At 46.4% G+C, this 25448-nt stretch overlaps 2 protein-coding genes and 1 non-coding gene across 5 annotated transcripts in view, besides 2 other annotated features; 1 reads left to right on the forward strand and 2 right to left on the reverse strand.

Moving 5' to 3' along the window:
• Positions 1-5468: 5468 nt before the first annotated feature.
• On the reverse strand, positions 5469-20077 carry CINP (cyclin dependent kinase 2 interacting protein). Of its 2 annotated transcripts, NM_032630.3 has the most exons (5): positions 20032-20077; positions 16606-16774; positions 12955-13084; positions 7106-7235; positions 5469-5946 (listed from the first exon to the last, which is right to left on the reverse strand). In NM_032630.3, the coding sequence occupies exons 1-5, from the start codon at positions 20036-20038 to the stop codon at positions 5744-5746; spliced, it is 639 nt and encodes a 212-aa protein (NP_116019.1). In that variant the 5' UTR covers positions 20039-20077; the 3' UTR covers positions 5469-5743. The 2 variants fall into 2 exon arrangements, with proteins under 2 accessions (NP_116019.1, NP_001306975.1); NM_001320046.2 differs by lacking the exon at positions 7106-7235.
• LOC124903427 (small nucleolar RNA U13) lies at positions 15986-16089 on the reverse strand. The gene has a single exon (XR_007064410.1). It is a non-coding gene; the product is annotated as a small nucleolar RNA U13 (small nucleolar RNA).
• Positions 20122-20531: a silencer, noted in NCBI's record as "silent region_6114". NCBI's record gives its function as "represses an Ori minimal core promoter by ATAC-STARR-seq in GM12878 lymphoblastoid cells {active_cell/tissue: GM12878}" and the evidence as "EXISTENCE:reporter gene assay evidence [ECO:0000049][PMID:35858748]".
• Positions 20128-25448, forward strand: part of TECPR2 (tectonin beta-propeller repeat containing 2) — a 139537-nt gene continuing 134216 nt past the window's right edge. For both annotated transcript variants that reach the window (NM_014844.5, NM_001172631.3), the window contains exon 1: positions 20128-20303. The gene's annotated coding sequence lies outside the window, so the exon portion shown is untranslated. The remainder of the gene's footprint in view (positions 20304-25448) is intronic.
• Positions 20572-20661: a silencer, noted in NCBI's record as "silent region_6115". NCBI's record gives its function as "represses an Ori minimal core promoter by ATAC-STARR-seq in GM12878 lymphoblastoid cells {active_cell/tissue: GM12878}" and the evidence as "EXISTENCE:reporter gene assay evidence [ECO:0000049][PMID:35858748]".

Genomic DNA, 25448 nt, shown 5'->3' on the forward strand with positions numbered 1-25448 from the left:
TCCTGAGTAGCTGTGACTACAGGAGCATGCCACCATGCCCAGCTAATTTTTTTTTTTTGTATTTTAGTAGATACGGGGTTTCACCATGTTGCCCAGGGTGGTCTCAAACTCTTGAGCTCAGGCAATCCGCCCACCTCAGCTTCCCAAAGTGCTGGGATTACAGTACAGGCATGAGCCACTGCACCTGGCCAATGATTTTTTTTTTTTTTTTTGAGATGGAGTTTTGGTCTTGTTGCCCAAGCTGGAGTGCAATGGCTCGATCTTGGCTCACCGCAACCTCCACCACAGGGTTCAAGCAATTCTCCTGCCTCAGCCTCCCAAGTAGCTGGGATTACAGGCATGTGCCATCACACCTGGATCATTTTGTATTTTTAGTAGAGACGGGGTATCTCCATGGTGGTCAGGCTGATCTTGAACTCCTGACCTCAGGTGATCTACGCGCCTCAGCATCCCAAAGTGCTGGGATTATAGGTGTGAGCCACTGCACTGGGCCTGATTGTTTTTTTTTGAGATGGAGTCTTGCTGTCGCCAGGCTGAAGTGCAATGGTGCAATCTCGGCTCACTGCACCCTCCGCTTCCTGGGTTCAAGTGATTCTCCTGCCTCAGCCTGCCGAGTAGCTGGGACTACAGGTGTCCGCCACCACACCCGGCTAATTTTTGTATTTTTAGTAGAGATGAGGTTTCACCATGTTGGCCAGGATGGTCTCGATCTCTTGACCTCGTGATCTGCCTGCCTCGGCCTCCCAAAGTGCTGGGATTACAGGCGTGAGCCACTGTGCCCGGCCCCGGCCTGATTTTTTTTTTTAGAGATGAGTTTTCACTCTGTTGCCCAGGCTGGAGTGCAGTGGTGCAATCATAGCTCATTGCAGCCTTTAACTCCCAGGCTTAAGCGATCCTCCTGCCTCGGCCTCCTGAGTAGCTGGGACTACAGGCGTGCGCCACGGTGCCTGGCTCTCCTCACATTTTACAGATGAGGAAGGTGAGGCATAAATGATGGGGTGACTTACTTGAGGTCCACAGCAAGATGCTGCTCAGGGTAGAAGCCCAGTTCTTTGATGTCCCACTTGGAAAGTCACTTAGTGGCATGTCTTCAATATTTCCGTGGGCTGTGTTACGGGGAAGGAAGGGAAGGGCCATTTGTCCACATGTGGAAGAAAGCATTCAAAGGGAGCAGCAGGTCTCTCCCCACGCCTTGCAGAGACGGTCAGGAGAGACCCCAAGCAGAGAGCACGCTGCTCAGGGACAGAGCTGGGCTTGTGACCATGTGTCGCCCTGGCGCTGTGCTCCTTCCAGGTCCTGCCCTGGAGGGCAGCTGTATTCTCAGAGAGCCAGCCTTTCCTACAGCCCTTTTAGTGACCAGGGGCATTTCCTACCCTCACTTGATCTCAAAGCCACGGTCGGTAGGAACAAAAAGGTGGGTTTTCTAGCAGGCTGGAAATGGCCAGCAGGGGAGCAAGCCGCGGCTGCCTGGGAGTGTTGGGTGGTCAGGTCAGGCTGTAGATGTATCCTGTAGACTCAAGGCCGCTTCTCAGGAGTCCAGAGTCCCATAAACCACCATGAGTGCCCTCCTGGGATCCTGGAGATGGAGACAAGAGCCCTGAGGATCATTCATAACCACTGTCAGGTAACTGACACAACATGCTGACTCGAGTATGACCATGGTCTGGATGAGGCCCTGGTAAATATACATTTATTTTCTATCTATAGGACACTAGTGAATATCCCAACACATCTTAGTTTCACCACTGTGTATGTGCTACTATGAATGGATGGTCAATGTAACTGATGTAAAAAAAACCTACAACAAATAAACCTTTGTTCCACCAGACAGAATTGAAGACACAGGAGGCTCTGAGAGCAGTGTCCTCATGAATCGGCCACGTGCCTGTCGAGTGCTGCTGTGTGCCAGGCACAGGACTGACGGCAGTGAGGGGGACTCATGGGCCCTACTCTTTGGGAGCCCTGTGCCTTATCCTCTCTTCCAGCTTGGCCTTTGCAGAGTTCCCCAATACAGCATAGAGACAGATGTATGCACAGCTTCCACATTACAACCCCCTTCTAATAGACGTAACCTAGGAGGCTGAGGCGGGAGGATCGCTTGAGCCCAGGTGTTCAAGACCAGCCTGGACAACTCCGTGAGACCCCATCTCTACTAAAAATTAAAAAAAAAAAATTAGCCCAGCATGGTAGTGCACACCTGTAGAGAAAAAGAAAGAAAAAAAGACAGACATAACCTTATTTATGAAAGAATGATAAATGGAAATTTCCTTTTCTCATGAAGAACTTTGTTTTGTATACATAGTACTTTTAATTTCAAATACTCAGATTAAGAGCAAGTGTGAAGAGACATTAGAGTACAGACCGGGGGACAAGGACACCCAAATGACTCCCAGGGGTGGCTGGCTGGGGCTTCAATGAGGACACGTGGTTTCAGCATTTGTCATGATCCCTGGCACCTGGTCCATGTTCAGTTATTATTACTAAAGGCAAAGAAAGAAAATTCCCTTGTGTTCCCTGGAAACCATGAGGATTCCTGTGGCTGCAACCCTGGTTGGGTACCCCTGGTCAGGCACCCACGGCACTGCAGCCCTGGCACCTCCCAAATGGTCACAGGAGTGGGGAGAGCTGAACCAGCAGGAAAGAAAGGAGCCAGGGCAGAGTGGATCTTTAATGCCCTCTGAGGCACTTTTTTTTTTTTTCCACAGGGCTTTGCTCTGTCACCCAGGCTGCAGTGCAGTGGTGCAGTCGTGGCTCACTGCAGCCTCAATGTCCCAGGCTCAGGTGATCCTACCTCAGCCTCCTGAGTAGTTGGGACCACAGGCATGCACCATGACACCTGGTTAGTTTTTTGTATTTTTTGTAGATGTTGCCCAGGCTGGTCTCAACCTCCTGGTAGGCTCAAGCAATCTGCTTGCCTCAGCCACCAAAGTGCTGGAATTACAGGTGTGAGCCCGTAATGACTCATGCCTAGCCAGGTCATATTATTATCATTATTATTATTTTTTGAGGTAGAGTCTCGCTGTCACCAGGCTGAAGTGCAGTGGCACGATCCCGGCTCACTGCAGCCTCTGCCTTCCGGGTTCAAGGGATTCTCCTGCCTCAGGCTCCTGAGTAGTTAGGATTACAGGCATGCAGCACCATGCCCGGCTAATTTTTGTATTTTTAGTAGAGATGGAGTTTCACCATGTTGGCCAGGATGGTCTTGAACTCCTGACCTCAGGTCATCCACCCACCTTGGCTTCCCAAAGTGCTGGGATTACAGGCATTGAGCTAGTGCGCCCAGCCTAATTTTTGTATTTTTAGTAGAGATGAGATTTCACCATGTTGGCCAGGCTGGTCTCAAACTCCTGACCTCAGGTGATCCACCCACCTCAGCCTCCCAAAGTGCTGGGATTACAGGCATGAGCCACTGCATCCAGCCGATAGTCAGATCTTAATAAATATAGCAAAGGCAGAGGAAAGAGAAATCCTAAGAAATGTTGCCTTTAAATGCTTTTGGCCAGGCACGGTGGCTCACACCTGTAATCCCAGCACTTGGGGAGGCCAAGGCGGGTGGGTCACCTGAGGTCAGTAGTTCAAGACCAGCCTGACCAACATGGTGAAACCCCATCTCACTGAAAATACGGTATTAGCTGAGTGTGGTGGCGCATGCCTGTAAAAATCAGCCAGGCATGGTGGCAGGTGCCTGTAATCCCAGCTACTTGGGAGGCTGAGCGGGGAGAATCGCTTGAACCCGGGAGGCGGAGGTTGTGATGAGCCGAGATTGCACCACTGCACTCCAGCCTGGGCAACAAGAGCGAGACTCTGTCTCAAAAAATAAATAAAGTTACAATAGTCTTAATAAACTTAGATAAATAGTATTTATAGTTAAATACTAAAATGACACAATTAAAAACTATACTTGGCCAGGTGCAGTGGCTCGCACCTATAATCCCAGCACTTTGGGAAGCCGAGGCAGGAGGATCACTTGAGGCCAGGAGTTCAAGGCAAGCCAGGGCAACATAGTAAGACCCCCATCTCTAAAAAGTAAAAATAAAAAAATTAGCCGGACGTGGTTATGCACACCTACAGTCCCAGCTACTCTGGAGGCTGAGGCAGGAGGATCACCTGAGCACAGGAGTTTGAGGTTGAGATTACAGTGAGCTACAATCATGCCACTGCATTCTAGCCTGGACAACAGAGCAAGACCCTGTATCTAAAAACACCAACAACATTATTGCTGGGCTGGGCAGTGCATGACTGTAGTCTCTGAGGAGACTAAGTAGGGAGGATCACTTGACCTCAGGAGTTTGACACTACTTGGGCCACATGGTAAGAGCCTATCTCATAAAAACCAAAAAACTAAAACTGCTGTTTATTAAGTATCACTCTATACACAGTCCCACAGAATATAAACAGTTTGGGATCAGAGAACTTACAAAAAGGCAAACGCAGATGTAGAAACCATGTAACAAGTAATGCCACAAAAAAGAGTTTAGGCTTTTGCAGGCTCGGCGCGGTGGCTCACGCCTGTAATCCTAGCATTTTGGGAGGGCGCGGTGGGTGGATCACGAGGTCAGGAGATGGAGACCATCTTGGCCAATGTGGTGAAACCCCGTCTCTACTAAAAATACAAACATTAGCTGGGTGTGGCGGCGCGTGCCTGTAGTCCCAACTACTCTGGAGGCTGAGGCATGAGAATCGCCTGAACCCAGGAGGCGGAGGTTGCAGTGAGCTTACATCGTGCCACTGCACACCAGCCTGGTGACAGAGCGAGACTCCATTAAAAAAAAAAAAAAAAGTAGGCTTTTGCATACCTTCACATTCTCCCCATGCCCTAGCTTTTGGCCAGTCTCTTCGGTCTGTTTCAAAACTGTCACCTTTCCCTCATTCTAACCTAGTATGTTAACTCTGGAAATGGCTGCAAACATTGTGAAACTCGAGGATTTGTGTCAGAAGAATGCCAGGGAAGGCAGTTTACATCGCTTGCCATGTCCCCAGTATGCAAACAGCGGCAATTTTTTTGTAGGTTATTTTCATTTTCATGATGTCAAACTTCATTTTAACTCCATGGGATCTTATTATTTAAGACGAAGTCTCACTCTGTCGCCCAGGCTGGAGTGCAATGGCTCACAGCAGCCTCTGCCTCCCGGTTCAAGCCATTCTCCTGCCTCAGCCTCTCAAGTAGCTGAGATTGCAGGCACGCGCCACCACGCCAGCTGATTTTTGTATTTTTAGTAGAGACAGGGTTTCATCATGTTGGTCAGGCTGGACTTGAATTCCGAACCTAAAGTGATCCGCCCACCTCGGCCTCCCAAAGTGCTGGGATTACAGGCATGAGCCACCGCACCTGGCCCAAAAACTAATATAGTCTCATAAAAACTTCAACAATCAGATAGGCATAAAGTAAAAATATTAAACCAGGGATTTTCTACACAAACATAATGTATAAAGCATGCCTAATTTATAGAAACTAGATCACTCACTCATTCTGCTCAGAAACTCATTGATTTTACTCTGAAGCACCCACGAATGACAGATTCCCAGGAGGGGCAGAGAAGGCTGAGCAGCACCACGTGGGGCTGGCCGCGGGTTGTGGGCATGAGCACGCCTGGAGAGGCCATGGGGCTGGTGACAAGCTCTGGCCAGAAGACCCCAAGGTCTGATCCTGGGGTCTGATCCAGGCCTGCGGCACTGGGTCCTAGGCAGACTGTCTGCCTGGTGAGACGTGGAAGGAGCCAGTGTCCGCAGCCGTCTCAGGACGTCAGAGAGCTCGGTGGCCTGTCTCCAGCAGCATGCTCTCCAGATGCAGCCTGCTGTCGCTCTCCACATAGGGCTGGTGCAGCCACATGGACAGGTAGCTCAGGGTGAGGTCGGGATCCCCGGTGTGGGCAAGCTCCTTGGCCACCGTGCGCTTCAGGAGCAGCTCCTTCCTGTACATCTCCAAGAGCTTATGCGAAACCTCATCTGAAAGAAACGTGAATCTCCCTTAATGGCAGTGATTCAAGAACATAGTGTCGACTTGGGAAGAACTACATTTTAACAGCTCTTGATTAAAAACCAGAATCAGCAACAGCACTGAGGGGAAGAAGGGCCCGATGGAGTTTACTACTCTAGCTGGTGCAGATTAGTACAATTTGATAACATGGTCAGCAGAGTGAAATAAAAAGTGTATACAAGCCGGGCGTGGTGGCCCACACCTGTAATCCCAGCACTTTGGGAGGCCCAAGTGGGTGGATCACCTGAGTTCAGGAGTTTGAGAACAGCCTAGCCATCGTGGCGAAAACCTGTCTCTACTAAAAAATACAAAAACTAGCCAGGTGTGGTGGCACGCACCTGTAATCTCAGCTACTTGGGAGGCTGAGGCACGAGAATCGCTTGTGCCTGGGAGGCGGAGGCTGTAGTGAGCCAAGATTGCACCACTACACTCCAGCAGGCGTGACAGAGCGAGACTCTGTCTCAAAAAAAGTATATATAACCTTTTCTACTTGACTCTTAGGTGACCTACAGTGATTATCAGTAGGAGATTCCCCTCAAACTGACAATATTTCACTAAACACATTCCACTAGGTGATTTTACCCTTTCCTGCCTTATTTAAAAAGTCTCAGGTCAACATCAAATAGCTTACCCTTGTCTTGAACTAATAAAAGCTAAAAGTAACCCTTTAAGAAGCGCCTCATAGAGTTTACTGAAGCCATGGGTTTCATTTTTCCCAGTCATCTTCCATGAGGTTGGCTGCAGTGACCCTCAATTTGTTTTTTAATTAAAACAAAAAACAAAAGAAAAACCTCAACAAACCAAAAAAACTCCTTTCTTCCTTTCCCCCCCTCAAAATGAGAGATATCTGCTTCCACAGAGGAGGTGGAATTCACTCTGCCCATTGGTTTTAGAGGCCTAATAACAGCAGCTTGCTTCACGGGTCTCTATGTTTCATATACTCTGCTGATAACCAGGTAATTAAAGCCAAGAAGAAATGTTTAAGATGCCTCTGTCTCCTTTCCTCCCGATACTTTTGCATTGAATTTGAAAGCCTTGTCAGCTTCTTAAAGTACCAGATGTAAACGATACTAAATGCCCTTAATAACCTTTACCCTCCTGAAAATCAACTGAGAAGGAACTACTTACAGAAATGGGTTGTAGGCCACGTGTGGAACAGAGGGGGTCGTTTACTCTCCTCCCCATAATGGTAGTTTTCTAGTTCACAAATTCCCTTGGTAGTTGAAGACAGCTTTTCCATTTTCACCTGTATTTTGGTCTGAAAGATATCCATTTGGAATATGATAATATTATTTGAAATCTCCAGTCTCAGATTTAATAACTCTAAGATTTCAAAGCTAAGAAGTGTAAGTCTATTATGATAAAAATTCCAATAACTAAACACTGTTAACTCTACGTACAGCAAATTCCCAGGGAGATGAAGGTGGACAGTTGCTATGATTTCATTAATTTGAATGACTTTGGTAATAAACCCCAGATTTCCAGTCCTAGAGCAAGAAAGGTTTCCGAGTGCCATTTCACTAGGATTTCCAAACAGCATTAATGTCTTAGACCCAAAGACCTGGAGGAATCCCAAGGCAGGCTCTTGCTGCCTTTTTTTTTTTTTCTTTTTTTTTTTGCGACAGGGTCTCATTCTGTGTGGCATGATCATGCCTTATGCAGCCTCAACCGCTGGCACCTCAGCCTCCCAAGTAGCTGGGATCACAGGTGTGCACCACCACACCCAGCTAATTTTTTTTAATTTGTGGAGACAGGGTCTCGTTATGTTGCCCAGGCTGGTCTCTAACTCCTGGGCTCCAGCAATCCTCCCGCCTCAGCCTCCCAAAGTGCTGGGATTATACAGGCATGCGCCACCGCGCCTGGCTGGCTCTTGCTGCTTTTAAGAAGTGAGAGAGAAAGGCATCAAATGAGCTCGTTTCTGATGCTCTCTCTCTCTCTCTTTTATCAAATGAGCTCGTTTCTGAGGCTCTCTGTCTCTCTATCAAATGAGCTCGTTTCTGATGTTCTCTCTCTCTCTCTTTTTTTTTTTTTTTTTTGAGACGGAGTCTTGCTCTGTTGCCAAGCTGGAGTGCAGTGCCAGGCTGGAGTGCAGTGGCGAGATCTCGGTTCACTACAACCTCTGATTCCCTGGTTCAAGCGATTCTCCTGCCTCAGCCTCCCAAGTAGCTGGGATTGCAGGCATGTGCCACCACGCCCAGCTAATTTGTGTATTTTTAGTAGAGACGGGGTTTCACCATGTTGGCCAGGCTGGTCTTGATCTCCTGAACTCGTGATCCGCCCACCTCGGCCGCCCAAAGTGCTGGGATTCTAGGCATGAGACACCGCACCAGGCCTGACTCTCTCTTATTAACTGCCTTTATTTACGGAAACCTCCTTGACTTCCTTGTTTATAAAATGGCAACACAGAAAGGGAGCCCTACACACTTCACGCAGAAAGGAAGGAAACGTGGCAAGCTGCCATTGACGGTCCCTCAGTGTGGACCAGGCTCTGTCCTAAGCCCTGTAACTGCATGATGTGTATGGCTACTTGTGGGAGACACTAAACCAACCCCACTGCACACACCAGGCAGCACAGAATAGGGGCAATGGCGGGCTTACTTTCACAGCTTGGTGAAGAGGATTAAGTGAGTTAGTATTTGTGAAGCACCTACTTGGAGATATATAAGGGTTGGATAAAGAAAATTAATGGGTGAAGTAACTAGGATTTCAGATTTAAGTAGCATAGGTCTATAAAGACCAAATTTTGAACTCCTAAGTATAGTTGACTTTACATACATAAATATGAAAAAGGGGAAATAAGAAAAGATATATAAATTGTCAAATATCTTAATTCCTTTACTTGGTCCTTCCAACCACCCTCCAATTACATTGGAAGTGGCAAGCACTAAATTCAGCTAACGTTAATTTTTAAAGGACTTTACTTAAGTAGTTTCCCAAATCTTTTAAGGTTTGATATTTTATTTGGCCCAACCCCAAGAGGCAGGACTTGTCATTTCCGTTTCACAGCTGGGAAATTGCTTAAGGTTGAGCTGAGGAAGGATGAGGCCAGAACTCGATACCATGCCTTCTGACACCAAGTTTTTTTGTTTTTGTTTTTGTTTTTGTTTTTTTTGAGACAGAGTCTCGCTTTGTCACCCAGGCTGGAGTGCAGTGGCGCGATCTCCGCTCACTGCAACCTCCGCCTCCCGGGTTCATGCCATTCTCCTGCCTCAGCCTCCCAAGTAGCTGGGACTACAGGCGCCCGCCACTGTGCCTGGCTAATTTTTTTGGTACTTTTAGCAGAGCTGGGGTTTCACTGTGTTAGCCAGGATGGTCTCGATCTCCTGACCTTGTGATCCGCCCACCTCAGCCTCCCAAAGTGTTGGGATTCCAGGCGTGAGCCACCGCGCCCAGCCGACACCAAGTTTTAACACCCAATCCTCTGCTCTTTCCTGTGAGTCCTGCAGCAGCTCCCTGGTGCCACCTGATTCTAAGAAAAGCTGATAACAGGAGACTAAGGAAAATTCTGGAGCCTTGACCCCAGGCAAGAAGTCATGCTCAATCCTGCAGCTCAGCCATCAATAAAGAATTCAAGTCACATAGGCACGTGCAGCCCTGAATGAACAGTGCATAAACAGCAGGCCCTTACATTTCAACATCGGTGGCTTCTTCCCACAGCAAACACAGACCACAGTGAAATGTTAGCCCAGCTTAGGAAGAACGGTGCATGAAACCCCCAGAAGGTCAAAGTTATGAAAGACACAGACCAGGTCTGGAAACCATTCTCTATAACGGATAGAGGAAAATAGGAAAAATAATAATACCCTATAAAATCAACTTTTGGTTTTGAACATAGAATGAGAACTTATTCCCAAACCACTTTTCTTTTTCTTTTTTTCTTTTTTTTGACACGGAGTCTCACTCTGTGGCCCAGACTGGAGTGCAGTGGCTTGATCTCGGCTAACTGCAACCTCCGAAAGTGATTCTCCCGCCTCAGCCTCCCAAGTAGCTGGGATTGCAGGCACCTGCCACCACCCCCAGCTAATTTTTTGTATTTTTAGTAGAGATGGGGTTTCACTATGTTGGCCATGCTGGTCTCAAACTCTTGACCTCAGGTGATCCACCTGCCTCGGCCTCCTAGAGTGCTGGGATTACAGGCATGAGCCACTGCGCCTGGCCAAAACAAAAATTAAAAAAAAACAAATAAAAATACAACAATTAGCTGGGTGTGGTGGCAGGCACCTGTAATCCCAGCTACTTGGGAAGCTGAGACAGGAGAATCACTTGAACCCAGGAGGCAGAGGTTGCAGTGGGCAGAGATCACCCCACTGCACTCCAGCCTGGGCAACAAGAGTGAAACTCCATCTCAAAAAAAAAAAAAATTAACAAATGGGAGGGAGGGAACAAATCTCCCACGCAGAATAATTCCAAATAATTTATGTAGATACTGCACCCTCAAGCAGGTGGTGAATACGTCCCTACCCCCAGGTGTGGGCTATGCATAGTGACTTCCTGCCAAAGAGCACAGCGTGGGAGGAGGAGAAAGAGCAACGTCACAGCAGAGGAACCTGGAAACACTGCCCAGCCAGGTGATCAAGGTCAACTTCAGCAGTGGAAAGTCCTGGCTGTGCACAGTGGCTCACGCCTGGAATCCCAGCACTTTGGGAGGCTGAGGTGGGAGCACTGCTTGAGCCCAGGAGTTTGAGACCAGCCCGGGCAATAGGTGGGACCCAAAGAAAAGTCCTGATGACAGTATATCCAGTACGTGCCCTTGATATGACATGATAGAAATGGCACTTTACTTCTGTGGTCCTCCTCTGAACAAAACCCGTAACCTCAGTCTAATTAGGAGAAAAACATCAGATAAATCTCATGATGTTCTACAAAATACCTGACCAGTATCCCTCAACATTGTCAAAGTCATCAAAAACAGGGAAGTCTGAGAAACTGTCACGGCCAAAAGGAGCCTGAGGAAACAAGGGGACTCGATGTCATACAGGATCCTGAAGCCAAAACAAGACATGACGGAAAAGCTAAGGCAGGGCGCCAGGGCTCACACCTGTGATCCCAGCACTTTGGGAGGCCAAGGTGGGAAGATCACTTCATGTCAGGAGTTCGAGACCAGCCTGGCCAACATGAGAACCCCGTCTGTACAAACGAATTTTAAAAATTAGCCGGGCATGATGGTTCATGCTTGTAGTCCCAGCTACTCGGGAGGCTGAGGCAAGAAGATCACTTAAGCCCAGGAAGTAAAGGCTGCAGTGAGCTGTGATCATACTACTGCATTCCACAGCGAGACCTTGTCTCCAAACAAACAAAAAGGTGAAAATATAAAGATCTTAAATGTTTATGGGTAAGCTTCAGTTATCCAAGTTCAAATATGTGTAAAACCTGATTTCCTGTGCCTAGCAAAGAAATAAGGTGGTGTTATCTTCACATCTGGTGGCCAGTATGGTAGGTATTGAAATTTAGTTATTAGTTCATTAAACAAACACTTTAGTCTCTTACGTGCTGTATCAGGGATGGGCAAACTATCCCTGGAACACAGGTCAATTCTGGCCCATAGCCTATTTCTGTATGGCCCATAAGCTAAGATGGTTTTTACATTTTTAAATGGTTGAAAATAACCAAAAGGACAATAGTGATTGTGACTCATAAAAATTATACAAAATTCTAATTTCGGTGTCCAAAGATAAAGATTTCCTGGACGAACATGGTGGCTCACGCCTGTAATCCCAACACTTTGGGAGGCTGAGGTGGGTGGATCACTTGAGGCCAGGACTTCGAGACCAGCCTGGCCAACATGGTGAAACCCCATCTCTACTAAAAATACAACAATTAGCTGGGCATGGTGGCGCACACCTGCGATCCCAGCTATGTGGAAGGTTGAGGCACAAGAATTGCTTGAACCCAGGAGGCGGAGGTTGCAGTGAGCCAAGATCTCGCCACTGCACTCCATCCAGCCTCAGTGGCAGAGTGAGGCCCTGTCTCAAAAAAAACAAAAACAAAAACAAAAAAGGCCAGGTGCGGTGACTCACGCCTGTAATCCCAGCAGTTTGGGAGGCCAAGGCAGGCTGATCACTTGAGGTCAGGAGTTCGAGACCAGCCTGGTCAACATGGTGAAATGCTGTCTCTACTAAAAATACAAAAATTAGCTCATGTGGTGGCACGAGCCTGTAATCCCAGCTACCTGGGAGGCTAAGGCAGCAGAATCACTTGTACCTGGGAGGCGGAGTTTGCAGTGAGCCAAGATCATGCTACTGTACTCCACCCTGGGTATCAGAATGAGACTCCATCTCAAAAAAAAAAAAAAAGAAAATCCAAAAAACAAAGATAAAGTTTTCATGGAATGCAGCCACATCCATTTACGCATATATTATCTATGGCTGTTTAGTCCTATGTGGCAGAGATGAGTAGCTGAGATAGAGACTGGCTGGCCCTGGAAGCCTAAAATATTTACTCTGTGGCTGGGCGTGGTAGCTCATGCCTGTAATCCCAGCCCTTTGGGAGGCCAGCAGGTGGATCACCTGAGGTCAGGAGTTTGAGATCAGCCTGACCAATATGGTGAAACCCTGTCTCAACTAAAAATGCAAAAATTAGCCAGGCATGGTGGCGGACGCCTGTAGTCCCAGCTACTCTGGAGGCTGAGACAGGAGAATCGCTTGAGCCCAGGAGGCGGAGTTTGCGGTGAGCCAAGATCACGCCATTGCACTCCAGCCTGGGCGACAAAGCAAGACTCCATATCATGGAAAAAAAAAAAAAATTTACTATGTGATGAGCCCTGAAAGTGGGTGACATTTCCCCGGATGACGCACAGGAGGAGTGAGTGTCTAAGACAGCATCTTGGGGAACATTAAGGTTTACGCAGCAGGCAGAGGAAGAGAACATCAGAGGAGACTGAGAAGGAGTAAGTGATGGCCAATGGTCAAGCAAACCCCAAATACGTCCATCGGATTCAGTGACAGTGACCACAAGTGGCCTGCGTCTTTATGTCTTACCAACCCATCCAAGGTGGCCTGCAGTTCCTCACACAGCTTCTCCAGTTCCTCGTTATATTCCAGACACACCTTTTCTTCATTTTCCTTCGAGGCTGGGCTGCTGCTGTCTAGTTCTATCTTGTCTTTATTCCTAAACAAAATAGAAAATAATGTGTACAAAATATACTCTTTAAGCTTGCCTTATTTCCTTATAATAAATTCTACAAACCTCTATATCCACATAGTTACGTGGGACATTTTGCATAAGCATTGTTCTTTCATATCATTATGATACAAATGCAGTTATTATTTATATGTGCAATGAATATGTCCATTGGTCACTCAATTTTGCACCAAAATAAGTCAGTTAAATTCAGCCATGTGACAGCCGGTTTTGGTGGCTCATGCCTGTAATCCCAACACTTTGAGGGATGGACGCGGGAGGACTGCTTGAGTCCAGGAGTCTGAGTCCAGCCTGGGCAACACAGTGAGACCTCATCTCCACAAAAATTAAAAGTAAAAATTAGCTGGGCATGGTGGGACACGTATGTGGTCCCAGCTACTTAGGAGGCTCAGGTGGGAGGATCACTTAAGCCCAGGAAGTCAAGGCTGCAGTGAGCCATTATAGCACCACTGCACTCAGCCTGCACAAAAGAGCAAGACTGTCTCAAAAAAAAAAAAAACACCATTCAGCGGTGTGGCATCCTTGGCATAGGGCATGGTGCTGGATGTACAAAGATGAATAAGACATGGATCATTTCCTCAAAGAGTTCACAATCCAGGAATATAGGCACGCCTCATTTTATTGTGCTTCACCTTATTCAGTTTCATAGATAATGCATTTTTTACAAATTGAAGGTTTGTGGCAACCCTCTGTATGTAGAGCAAGTCAATCAGCACCATTTTGCCAACAGCATGTGCTTACTTCATGTCTCTCTATCATATTTTGGTAATTCTTACAATATTTCAAACTTTTTCATTATTATGTCTATGATCTGTGATTGGTAATCTTTGATATTGCTAGTTTAATTGTTTTGAGGTGCCATGAACCATGTGCATATATAACGGCAAGCTTAATGAATGGATGTTGTGTGTTCTGACTGCTCCACTGACCGGCTGCTCCCCTTTCTCCCCATCTCCTTGGGCCTCCCTGTTCCCTGAAATAGGAGGATACTGAAATCAACCCAATTAATAGCCCTACATTGGCCTCTAAGTGTACAAGTGAAAGGAAGAGTTGCATATCTCTCATTTTAAATCAAAAGCTATACTTTGGCCAATTTAAGAAACAAAAAAATTAAAAGCTAGAAATGATTAAGCTTAGTGAGGAAGGCATGTCAAAAGCTCAGATAAGGGGCCAGGTGCGGTGGCTCACGCCTGTAATCCTAGCACTTTGGGAGGCCAAGGCGGGCAGATTGCCTGAGCTCAGGAATTCAAGACCAGCCTGGGCAACATGTGAAACTCCGTCTCTACTAAAATACAAAAGAAATTAGCTGGGCGTGGCGGTGTGCACCTGTAGTCCCAGCTACTTGGGAGGCAAAGGCAGGAGAATTGCTTGAACCCGGGAGGCAGAGGTTGCAGTGAGCCAAGATTGCACCATTGCACTCCAGCCTGAGCGACAGAGCGAGACTCCATCTCTACAAAAAAAAAAAAAAAAAAGCTAAGATAAGCTGAAAACCAGGCCTCTTGTGCCAAACAGTTGGCCAAGTTGTGAAGGCAAAGGAAAAGTTACTGAAGAAAATTAAAGGTGCTACTCCAGTGAACATGTGAATGATGAGTGAAACAGCCTTAGTGTGGATATGGAGAAAGTTTGAGTGGTCTGGATAGAAGATCAAACCAGACACAGCATTCCCTTAAGTCAAAGCCTAATCCACAGCAGGACCCTAACTCTCTTCAATTCTGTGAAGGCTGAGAGATATGAGGAAGTTACAGAAGAAAAGTTTGAGATAGCAGGATTTGGTTCATGAGGTTTAAGGACAAAAGCCATCTCCATAACATAAAAGTGCAAGGTGAAGCTGCAAGCGCTAATGTAGAAGCTGGAGCAAGTTATCCAGAAGATCTACTTAAGATCAGTGATGAAGGTGGCTACATGATACAACAGATTTTCAGTGTAGATGAAACAGCCTTCTATTAGAAGAACATGCCATCCAAGACATTCACAACTACAGAGAAGTCAATGACAGGCTTCAAAGCTTCAAGAGACAGGCTCACCCTCTTATTAGGGGATATTGCAGTTAGTGACTTTAAGTTGAATCCAATGCTCATTTACCATTCTCAAATTCCTAGGGCCCTTAAGAATGATGTTAAATCTACTCTGCCAGTGGAAAAAGCAAGAGAACCAGAACTGGAAGTGGGGTCTGAAGATGGAACTGAATTGCTGCAATCTCATGAGAAAACTTGAACAGATAAGGAATTGTTTCTTATGGATGAGCAAAGAAGGTGGTTTCTTGAGATGGAATCTATTCCTGGGAAAGACACTGTGCACACTGTTGAAATGACAACAAAAGATTGAGAATATTATATAACTTAGTTGATAAACCAGTGTGAGAGGTCTAATGTGGGTAAACACTATTAAACAGCAATGAGAAAGAACAGAACCAGAATAGTGGCTCTACATTACACGCATGGCTTCCATGTTGAAAGACAGTGAGACATGGCTGGGCGCAGTGGCTCATGCCTGTAATACCGGCATTTAGGGAGGCCAAGGTGGGCAGATCACTTGAGGTCAGGAGTTTGAGACTAGCCTGGCCAACATGGTGAAACTCTGTCTCTACTAAACATACAAAAATTAGCCGGGCATGGTGGCAGGTATCTGTAATTCTAGCTACTCAGGAGGCTGAGACAGGAGAACCACTTGAACCTGACAGGCAGAAGTTAGAGTGAGCCAAGATCACGCCATTGCACTCCAGCCTGGGGGATAGAGTGAGACTCGTCTCCAAAAATAAAAAATAAAAAATAGAAAAAGAAAGTGAGATATAAAGGAAACAATAACATATGTTTTTTGTTTACGTAAAATCCAAAAATGGATGAAAAGAATTCATGGTAGTTTTTTCCATATCAGCTAGGTAATGTGCCAACATCATAGCAAAGTTTGAGGAAGGCACAGGTCATACATGAGCATGAAAACCCAATCATTATGCCTATGAACTACAAAAGAATCAAAGAATCTGTGGTTTTAAAAATCAGAATAGCCAGGCACGGTGGCTCACACAGCACTTTGGGAGGCTGAGGCAGGTGGATCACGTAAGGTCAGGAGTTCGAGACCAGCCTAACATGGTGAAAGCCCGTCTCTACTAAAAATACAAAAATTATCTGGGTGTGGTGACGGGCGCCTGTAATCCCAGCTACTCCGGAGGCTGAGGTAGGAGAATTGCTTGAACCCAGGCGGTAGAGGTTGCAGTGAGCTGAGATCGCGCCATCACACTCCAGCCTAGGCAACAGAGTGAGACTTCATCTCCAAAAAAATAAATAAATAAATAACTAAATATATATATATATATATATATATATGGAATATAATTTTGTATTTAAAATGTACAATACAATTTATACTTACACGTATCATCTTACCACTTGCTTTTTTTGCTTAATATTTTATTTTAAAATTTATTCACATTATTTCCCCAGTTATTAAGGGTGAAAAACTTAGAGCATGAAAAACCAATATGTACTTACAATAAACTGATTTTCAAGTTGGCAATATTATTTGCAGTGGTAAAACCTGCATCATTGAGGGTTTCCCACTTCAGGATTAAATTGTGCCAATCAGCCGCATTGTCCTTAATTTTTCTTGCACTGACAGATAAGACAGGTTTTCTGGGCGTTACAGTTCCAAGAGTCTTTGCTGATAGGGTATAAAAGAAACAAAATTATTATCATGGAATATACAATCATAGTTGGAGGGCAAATGTCCTTATAATTTTCAACAGTAAAACTATCTGAAATGCTGTATCAACTGGACAAATAAATGTGGAAACTACAAAGTCTGAATGAATGTGAAAGTTCCTGGAAGAAGACAATATAGAATATTTTTAACATTTTAAAATTCACCAGATAGAGCTGAATCCTCTTCCAGCTTAATGGCTCCACAAAGTTTTTACCTTAAGCCCTTTGTTTTCCAAAGATTGGAAATAAGGTAAAGTTGTGACTGTCTGCTAAAACTCTTCAATGGCTCACGTTCCCTTCCCTACAGGATAATCTAGCCCTGACTCCCGAGTACTTCCACTATCTAGTCTCAGGCACTCTGATACTTTAAATTTGCTCAGAGTAGCGTGGCCCATGAGTGCTAATCATTTCAAGACACTGAGACAACAGAGATGCAGAGTTGATCACGATGCTGCCACTGCCCTTCTTGGTAATCAGGAGGAAGTCCAAAATCCTTCCAGACCTAGCTACCCCTCCACATCATCACGTACATCAACCCACACCTTGGCCCCCCGTCAATATCCAGCGAAAATGAACTACTGGCAGCTCTTGAAAAGCTGAGGTGCCTGCAGGCCTTTACACGTGTTCTCTCTGCAGGAAAGCTCCTTCCTTCCTCAGGCTCACGATGCCCATCCTCCAAGATGCACCCGGATCCCACTGCCTGTAGGAAGCAACCCCCAGACCACCAAGAGCCAACTCAGGTTGTTTGTTCTCCCCGAACCCTCCTGTGCCCTCTTGCCTTCTCTACTTTGAACCCCACAAAGGCTTCTCACTGCCCACAGGATAAAGTCCTCTTGAGGAATCCAGGACACACAACAGCTGGATGGTTTGATGCCTCAAGTCAGAAGACCACACTGCCTGCGTCTGAACCCCAGCTCGCCAGCTGTGAGATCTTGGGCAACTTAATGTACCTTTCAGAGCCTCAACATTTTCATCTGTAAAATGGGAATAAAAATAGTATCTATTTCATAGGATTGCTGAGATTAGATAATATATGTGAAGCTGTGAGGCCTCGCACAAGGCAAAAACCCAGTATCTCACCTGTTAGCTCAAGGGCCTCTACTATCCAAGCTCTGCCCACCACTTCAGCTTCTACCCTTTCCCACTTGCCCTCTGTGCATCAGAGCTGGCTCTGTACAAGTTCTGACTTTGACCTGGAATATTTTTCCTATCTGTGTGTGTCCCCACTCCCCTGCCTCATACTTAGTATCCTCACTTTAAAATATCATCTTGATTTATCATTCATTCTTTACTTAAACAACAAATATTTGCTTACTGCCTACAATACGCCAGGCATGGGGGAATGAAGTGATTGAATGAGACGGACCAGGACCGTTTTCATGGAACTTACTTTCCAAAGGGGAGGCAGATAATAAACAAATGACCACGATCAGTTCAGATCATGATTAAGTGTGTGTGGAAAATAAAACAGGGTCTTGTGTTAGTGTGATCCCCTGAGAAGGTGTCGTTTAGGCTGAGATTTGAATGATGAAAAGCCAGAAATAGGGTAGGTCAGTAGTATGTGCCCTAATTATGATAATGAGGTTGGTGAGTTCAAAAAACAGAAAACAAAACAAAACAAACAAGCAAACAAAAAAACCAGTGTGCTGGAATGAAATAGACAGAAAAGGACTAGTGCGTGAGTAGGTGATCAGACAACTAGAACCTAATAGGCCAAGATAAGAAGTTGGACCGAGGGCAGTGGCTCACGCCTGTAATCCCAGCACTTCAGGAGGCCAAGGCGGGCGGATCACGAGGTCAGGAGATCGAGACCATCCTGGCTAACACAGTGAAACCTCATCTCTACTAAAAAAATACAAAAAATCAGCCGGGCGTGGTGGCGGGCGCCTGTAGTCCCAGCTACTCAGGAGGCTGAGGCAGGAGAATGGCGTGAACCCGGGAGGCGGAACTTGCAGTGAGCCCAGATCGCGCCACTGCACTCCAGCCTGGGTGACAGAGCGAGACTCCGTCTCAAAAACAAAACAAAACAAAACAAAACAAAACAAAATAAAAAAATGAAGTTTGGACTTCTAAGTATTAGCTTGGTGCAAAAGTAACAGATTTTGCCATTACTTTTAACAGCCAAAATTGCCATTACTTTTGCACCAACCTAATACAATGGGGAGTGAGCAATGAGCTCTGGATAGGGCAGTGAAATTATCTGATTTAGGTTTTTAGAAAGTCATTTCCACAGAGAAGTATTCCTGGATCCCCCAGGTTGGGTTACGACTCACCACTAGATATGTGGTACACCCTATAATTCTGCTATCATGATATTCACCAGTGGAGTGTATTTGCTTGTTTAATGTCTATATTCCCTGCTAAACTGGAAATTCGACTAGGGTAGGAACTATGTCTCGTTCTCTTTCAAACCTTCCACACATAGGAGGCTTTGCATAAAATGAGGTAAATGGAGGAATAGCTCTTACCACCTGTTCTATAATTGTCTAAGGGTTTTCCCCCCAACAGGAGATTCTGAGGGCAGGATCACATCTGATTCATGGTCAGCCTGACTCATACGGGGCACATATTTAGGAACCAAAAACATAACTGACTTCAAGAAACTCAAGGGCTGGTAAAGACAGACCAGTCATCAGCGTCACAGGACAGGGTAGGGTGAGGGCACAGTGGCTAAGTTACTTATCCCCTCTGAGCCTCGATTCCCCATCTGCAAAATGGGGTTGACATTACTTCATGGGACCACTGTGAGGTTCAAATGAGATGATCCACTTAAAGTGCTTGGAGCAGTACTCAGCAAACTGAGCACTAGGCGAAAGCCAGCTTTCATTACAAGCAGAATGTTCTGACTGAGGGCAGTTCAGAGAGGAGTTTCTGGACGAGATGAGCATGCAAGGCTTGGTACCCAGTGAACTCTGTTAGTACTAATTTATAGTGACAATAATTACAATTTGGATGTCGGATCTGCTGACACTCATTTGCGTATATCGTCCCGTTCATCTGTCACTGCACATGTGAAAAAACGGAGGCTCGGCAAAACTGTCTCCCGAGCAGCTCGCAGAGGCTGCGAGGGGCCTGCGGGCTAGGCTGGGGTAAGACAGAGGACCTCCATTTAACCTCATGTAATCCGGGGAGCTCCTGAGCTTCTGGTCCAACCTGCGGCCTAAGCAGTAACATTCACAGCCACCCCACCCCGGGAAAGGAACCGATCTCACGCACCTTCCATAAGGTCCACAGATATCCGTAGAAGGAGACGCGAAGCCCCGCCCACCCCACCGGAAACGCATTTGCGTCACGTCCGCCCCGCCCGCTGCCACTTGTGGCTCTGCCGCTCTAGCCCCCGGCGGAGCCAGCTGCTGCTCTTCGGTGCTGGCCCCGGTGCCGGCCCCGTTGCCCAGGGAACAGGCTCCCGGCAGCCCCCGCGGCCCGGAGTCCATCCCGCCTCCTCCGGCCCGGCGGGGCCGACGAGTCCGGAGGGGCTGCCGCGGGAGGTGAGTCCGGCGACGCCGCAAGCGGCCCCGACGCCCCCGACGCCCCCGACGCCTGGCCCCGAGCCCCTCCTCGGCCTCCCCCGGGCCACTCTTCCCTTGCCTCAGCCCCGCAGGGTCTCCATGCCCGTCCGCCCCGTCTCCCTCGCCCGCGGTCTCGCCCGCGCGGAGTGGCGGACACTAAATGCCACAACACACGGAGCGCCTGGCTCGCCGCCCGCAGAATCCGGCGGTCCGCAGCGGGGAACAGGGGCCGCCCGCCCCTCCTCAGGCCTCCGCTGCGCGTCCCGCGCCCTCGGCCCCCGGCCCCACCCTGCATCCCGGCTGCCGGTCTGGCCGCGGGCTCTGCTCCTTCGCCTTAAGATTGACGTCGTGTTCTGTCCCCCACTCGCAGCCCGCGTCCCTTACATCCGCCCACCGGCGCCTGGCCCCAGGCCTTGACACTCATCCAGTTGGTGTTCAGTGTTCGATGAGTGGATAAGTGAATGACTCCTTTCCCAATCCTATTTGAAGGCATGGGAGGCAGAATAGGTAGTAAGTGTTAAAGGATGGGGTGTCCTGGAGTCAGAGCCGGGCAGGTCCCAGCGGCCCCTTCCTAGCTCTGTGCTGGGGCAAGTGCCCTACCTCACTCCGCTCCAGTTTCATCACCAGTGGAATGGAGATGAGAATAGTTTCTACCTCTGGCTTGGTAAGAGGATTAAATGGGTCAGTGCATGTAAAGTTAAGCACGGTGCCTGCCGCTGTACATTTCAGTAAAGGGGAGCCCCTGCTGTCATCTGTGCTAGCCTGCGTTCTCGCCCTCTAGTCCCTTCTGATATGTCTCTGACTTCTCATGACTTTAGTTTCTCCTTCTCTACCTCCATTTCTCTTCCCTGCACTTTTTTCTTCCTCTCTTATTGGGATTCAGGAATTTTATTCTGTTCTGTGACTTATGTTCCATGTGTTGGCAGAATGTGGGATACCAGCCTGGGTGCATCCTTTTCTCATCTATTGGAGTGACCAGTTGCACTTGTGGACTGCCTCCTTGCAGCCAAGGTCTTGTAGACAGAGTTCTGGGAAATCTCAAAACGCAAATCCCAGGCATAGGTAGAATCTGGGAATGAAGCCACTGTAGCTCCTTGTGATCACCAGCGATTCCTGGTCTTTTAGGCTGCAGGACTTTGTGTTTTCTCACACCCAGCTATAATGTACCTTGATAAACCTCTGACCTTATTTTTGTTGTTGTTGTTGTTAACCTGACTTACGTCCCATATTGGTGGTTATTTGGCCATCGTGTGCCAGCACTGTGCCAGGCTGGCTCTAGGGATGCTGTGGTGAACCAGACAGACCCTTCCTGAGGTCACTGCCTCAGAAAGATCATGGTCTGGCCCATGAACTTTAAAAGGGAGAACTAAGTGCAGGTGTAGGGGACACACAAATTGAATTTTCAGGACTGCCTTGGAAAACCAGTGGTGGGGAAGATGGAATGAGGATAACCCTCTTCTGAAGGAGTGACTAGGAAGTAGCTTTTGTTAGGCATCAGCTATATTATACCCACGTGTCTTTTTCAATAGAAGACTGGCATCTACTGGATTTTTTTTTCCAATTTTTTCTTAAAGAAGTTACACTTAAGTTTGGGGAGAATTTCATTTCATATTAGCCGCTGTAGGAGTTGAAAAAAATGGCTACTGGAACTTAGTGGGAAGAAAAGGAAGGAAACAGGCATCAGGCAGAGGCAGTTGATTGAACTTGGGAAGATGAGGAATAGATCAGGAAAGGGTTATAATGAAAAGCTTTGGTGTCAAGCACGAAGAGATTTCTAGATTCAGTAATGCACAGAGAGATCAGTAAAATTAGAAGGGAGTAGTTGATGGCTTTGCGAATTGCTAAGGTAGAAGGGAGCTGTTACTCAAGATGCATGTTCAATTTAAAATGAATGTATTCTTTGGACCTGGACATAAGAGTTCTATTGACTTTTTGCCACTATTTTATATTTAGGGCTGTCATACTTGGGTGAATCTAGCACAGTGCTTTGAGAGAGAGATTCATTCAACAAACGTGTATTGAGCATTGATTGTACCATACTCTTTATTGGTCTTTTAAAGCACCACAAAGTATACAGACTAGAAGAACATAGGTGAAGATGAGAAAGAGTCCATTGAAGGGGAGAGAAAACAGATAATGATGGTGCTGTGCGATAACTGCCATCATGGAGTTCTGTGAAAGCAGAGAAAGACCAACCAAGTATCTGAGGGAATTTATGAAGGCTTCCTGGTGGCGGAGGACTAGTTCTTACAGGGCACATGTGGGGGAATAGGGAAGAGTGGAAAGGGACTTTGTTCTGCAGAGACATACAGGTTATGGTGTGTGCAGGGACTGTGATGGAAAGCTGATGGATGCACAAACAAAACGTGGCCTGTCTACACAATGGAAGGCTGTTCAGCAATAAAAAGGAACGAAGTACTGATTTGTGCTACAACATGGAGGAACCTTGAGAACATTAGGCTAAGTGAAAGCAACCAGACACAAAATACCACATATTATATGATTCAATTTTGATGAAATCTCCAGAATAGGCGAACTGTAGACAGAGAGGAGATCAGTGGTTGCCCAGGGCTGAGAGAAGAAGCGTGTAGAGGGGTGATTGCTAAAGGGTAGGGAGTGCACAGTGTGTGGATGGAAGAGTGGCCTGAGATGAAGTTAGATATAGACTGTTTTGTCATAGTGTCTAATTTCCATGCTTGTGTTAGGCTTTAGCTTGTGACCATTGGGTAGCCAATGGGGATGGGAGCAAGGAAGTGACAAAATTTTGTCTGGAAGATAAATGACTGCCTCAGTCTCATTACGTTCCTCCTTAATAATTTAATACTCAAATAATTAATAGATGTCGTAGCCAGATTTCAAACATAGATTCTACAATAGGGATACAAATTGTTGCTTCCTAGGGATTTTGGAGAGAATCCTGAAACCATTAGTGTACCCAGAGCACTCTGATAACATGGTTATTGTACAGCGAAGTGGATGACTTAGACTCTATATTAGTCCTAGCTCCAGTTTGAGAAATCATCCATCTGGGTGGCAGTTGGGTGTTAGTAGTCAGCAGTGAAGGCTAGCTGCCACCTTCCAGGGTTATGAGATTGACAGGGCTAGTGGGGAAAGGAAGCATCGTAACTTGAAGGATGCCATAGGGTGGTGTTTTGTATTTTTTTAACTGAAATAGTCATGACTAAGGAAGCATTATTCATTATATTTTTATTTATTTATTTATTTTTGAGATGAAATATCACTCTGTCACCCAGGCTGGAGTGCAGTGGCACGATCTTGGTTCACTGCAGCCTCCACCTCCCAGGTTCAAGTGATTCTCCTGCCTCAGCCTCCCAAGTAGCTGGGATTACAGGTGTGCGCCACCACACCTGGCTAATTTTTGTATTTTTTAGTAGAGATGGGTTTCGCCATGTTGGCCAGACTGGTCTCGAACTCCTGGCCTCAAGCAATCCTCCCACCTCGGCCTCCCAAAGTGCTGGGATTACAGGCGTGAGCCATCATGCCCAGCCCAATTTTAAAAATTGGATTGAGACTATTGTTTTGCAGTAAGACCTGAAGTTAACAAATCTTTACTGAGCATCTACTCTGTGCCAAAGCTATTATTAGATACTAGGATTTACCTTGGTAAGCAAGAGAGAATTCATGTTGCTTACATTCTTGTAGGAGAGATGATTTTTAAATGGTTTAGCAAATAAAGCAATTAGAGGTTGTAATGAGGATTATGAAGCACATATGATAGAGGAAAGAAGGGACAGTTGGGTACTCTTGAGTGATCTGGTCAGAGAAGGCCTTTCTGTGGTGGTGATATTTAAGCTGAGACCCCACAGTTGAGAAGAAGCCAGATAAATGGAGTGAGATCATTTATTCTGCATAGAGGAAATAATTATGACACCTGAGTGGGACAGAGTGGGTCAGTGGAGCTAGAACTTGGAGGACAAGTGGAGACGGGTAGAGAGGTGACAGGGGAGCTGCAAAGGGCTTAGACCACACGGGGCATTTGGTTTTTATTCTTAGAGCACTGGGCAACCAGTGAGGAGTTTTGAGTAGAATGGGTAGTATGGTCTGATTTCTCTTTGAAGGAGCTGATATTTTCCTTTGTTTTTTGGGGGGTAACAGCTTTATTGAGATATAATTTACATGCCACACAGTTCACCCATTTATATACAATTCAATGGTTTTTACTGTATTCACAGCTATGCAACCGTCACTACGTCAATTTTAGAACTTTCTCATCACCCTAAAAGGAAACTCCGTACCCTTCAGCAATACACCCTAACCCCTTCTTCTCCCAGCCCTGGGCAACCACTGACCTACTCTGCCTACAGCTTGCCTATTCTAGACATTTTGTATACATGGAATCATATAATATATGGTGTTTTGTGCCTGGTTGCTTTCACTTAGCATAATATTCTCAGGATTCCTCCGTGTTGTAGCATGAATCAGTACTTCATTCCTTTTTATTGCTGAACAGGCTTCCATTGTGTGGATAGATCACATTTTGTTTGTCCATTCATCAGTTGATGGACAGTTAGGTTGTTTTGACATTTTGGCTATTATGAGTGGTGATATTATGAACATTTATCTACAAATTCTTTGTAGATATGTTATCATTTCTATTGGGCATAAACCTAGGAATAGAACTTCTGGGTCACATGGTAACTCTGTAACCTTTTGAAGAACTGCCCACTGGTGGCTGCACCATTTTATTTTTCACCAGCAATGTATACAGTTTTTTCCACATCCTTGCTAACACTTGTTCATACCCTAGTGGGTATGAAGTGGTATCTCCTTGTGGTTTCGATTTGCATTTCCCTGATGAGTAATGGTGCTGAACATCTTTTTATGTGCTTATTGGCCTTTTTTTTTTTTTTTTTTTTTTTTTTTTTTGGAAATAAAGTCTCGCTCTGTTGCCCAGGCTGGAGTGCAGTGGTGCGATCTTGGCTCACTACAACCTCCACCTCTCGGGTTCAGGTGATTCTTGTTCCTTCGGCCTCCTGAGTAGCTGGGATTACAGATGTGCGCCACTATGCCCACCTAATTTTTGTGTTTTTGGTAGAGACAGGGTTTCACCATGTTGGCCAGGCTGGTCTTGAACTCCCAACCTCAGGTGATCCACCTGCGTTG

Source organism: Homo sapiens, chromosome 14 (genome assembly GCF_000001405.40).
Source record: "Homo sapiens chromosome 14, GRCh38.p14 Primary Assembly".
Lineage (NCBI taxonomy): Eukaryota > Metazoa > Chordata > Mammalia > Primates > Hominidae > Homo > Homo sapiens.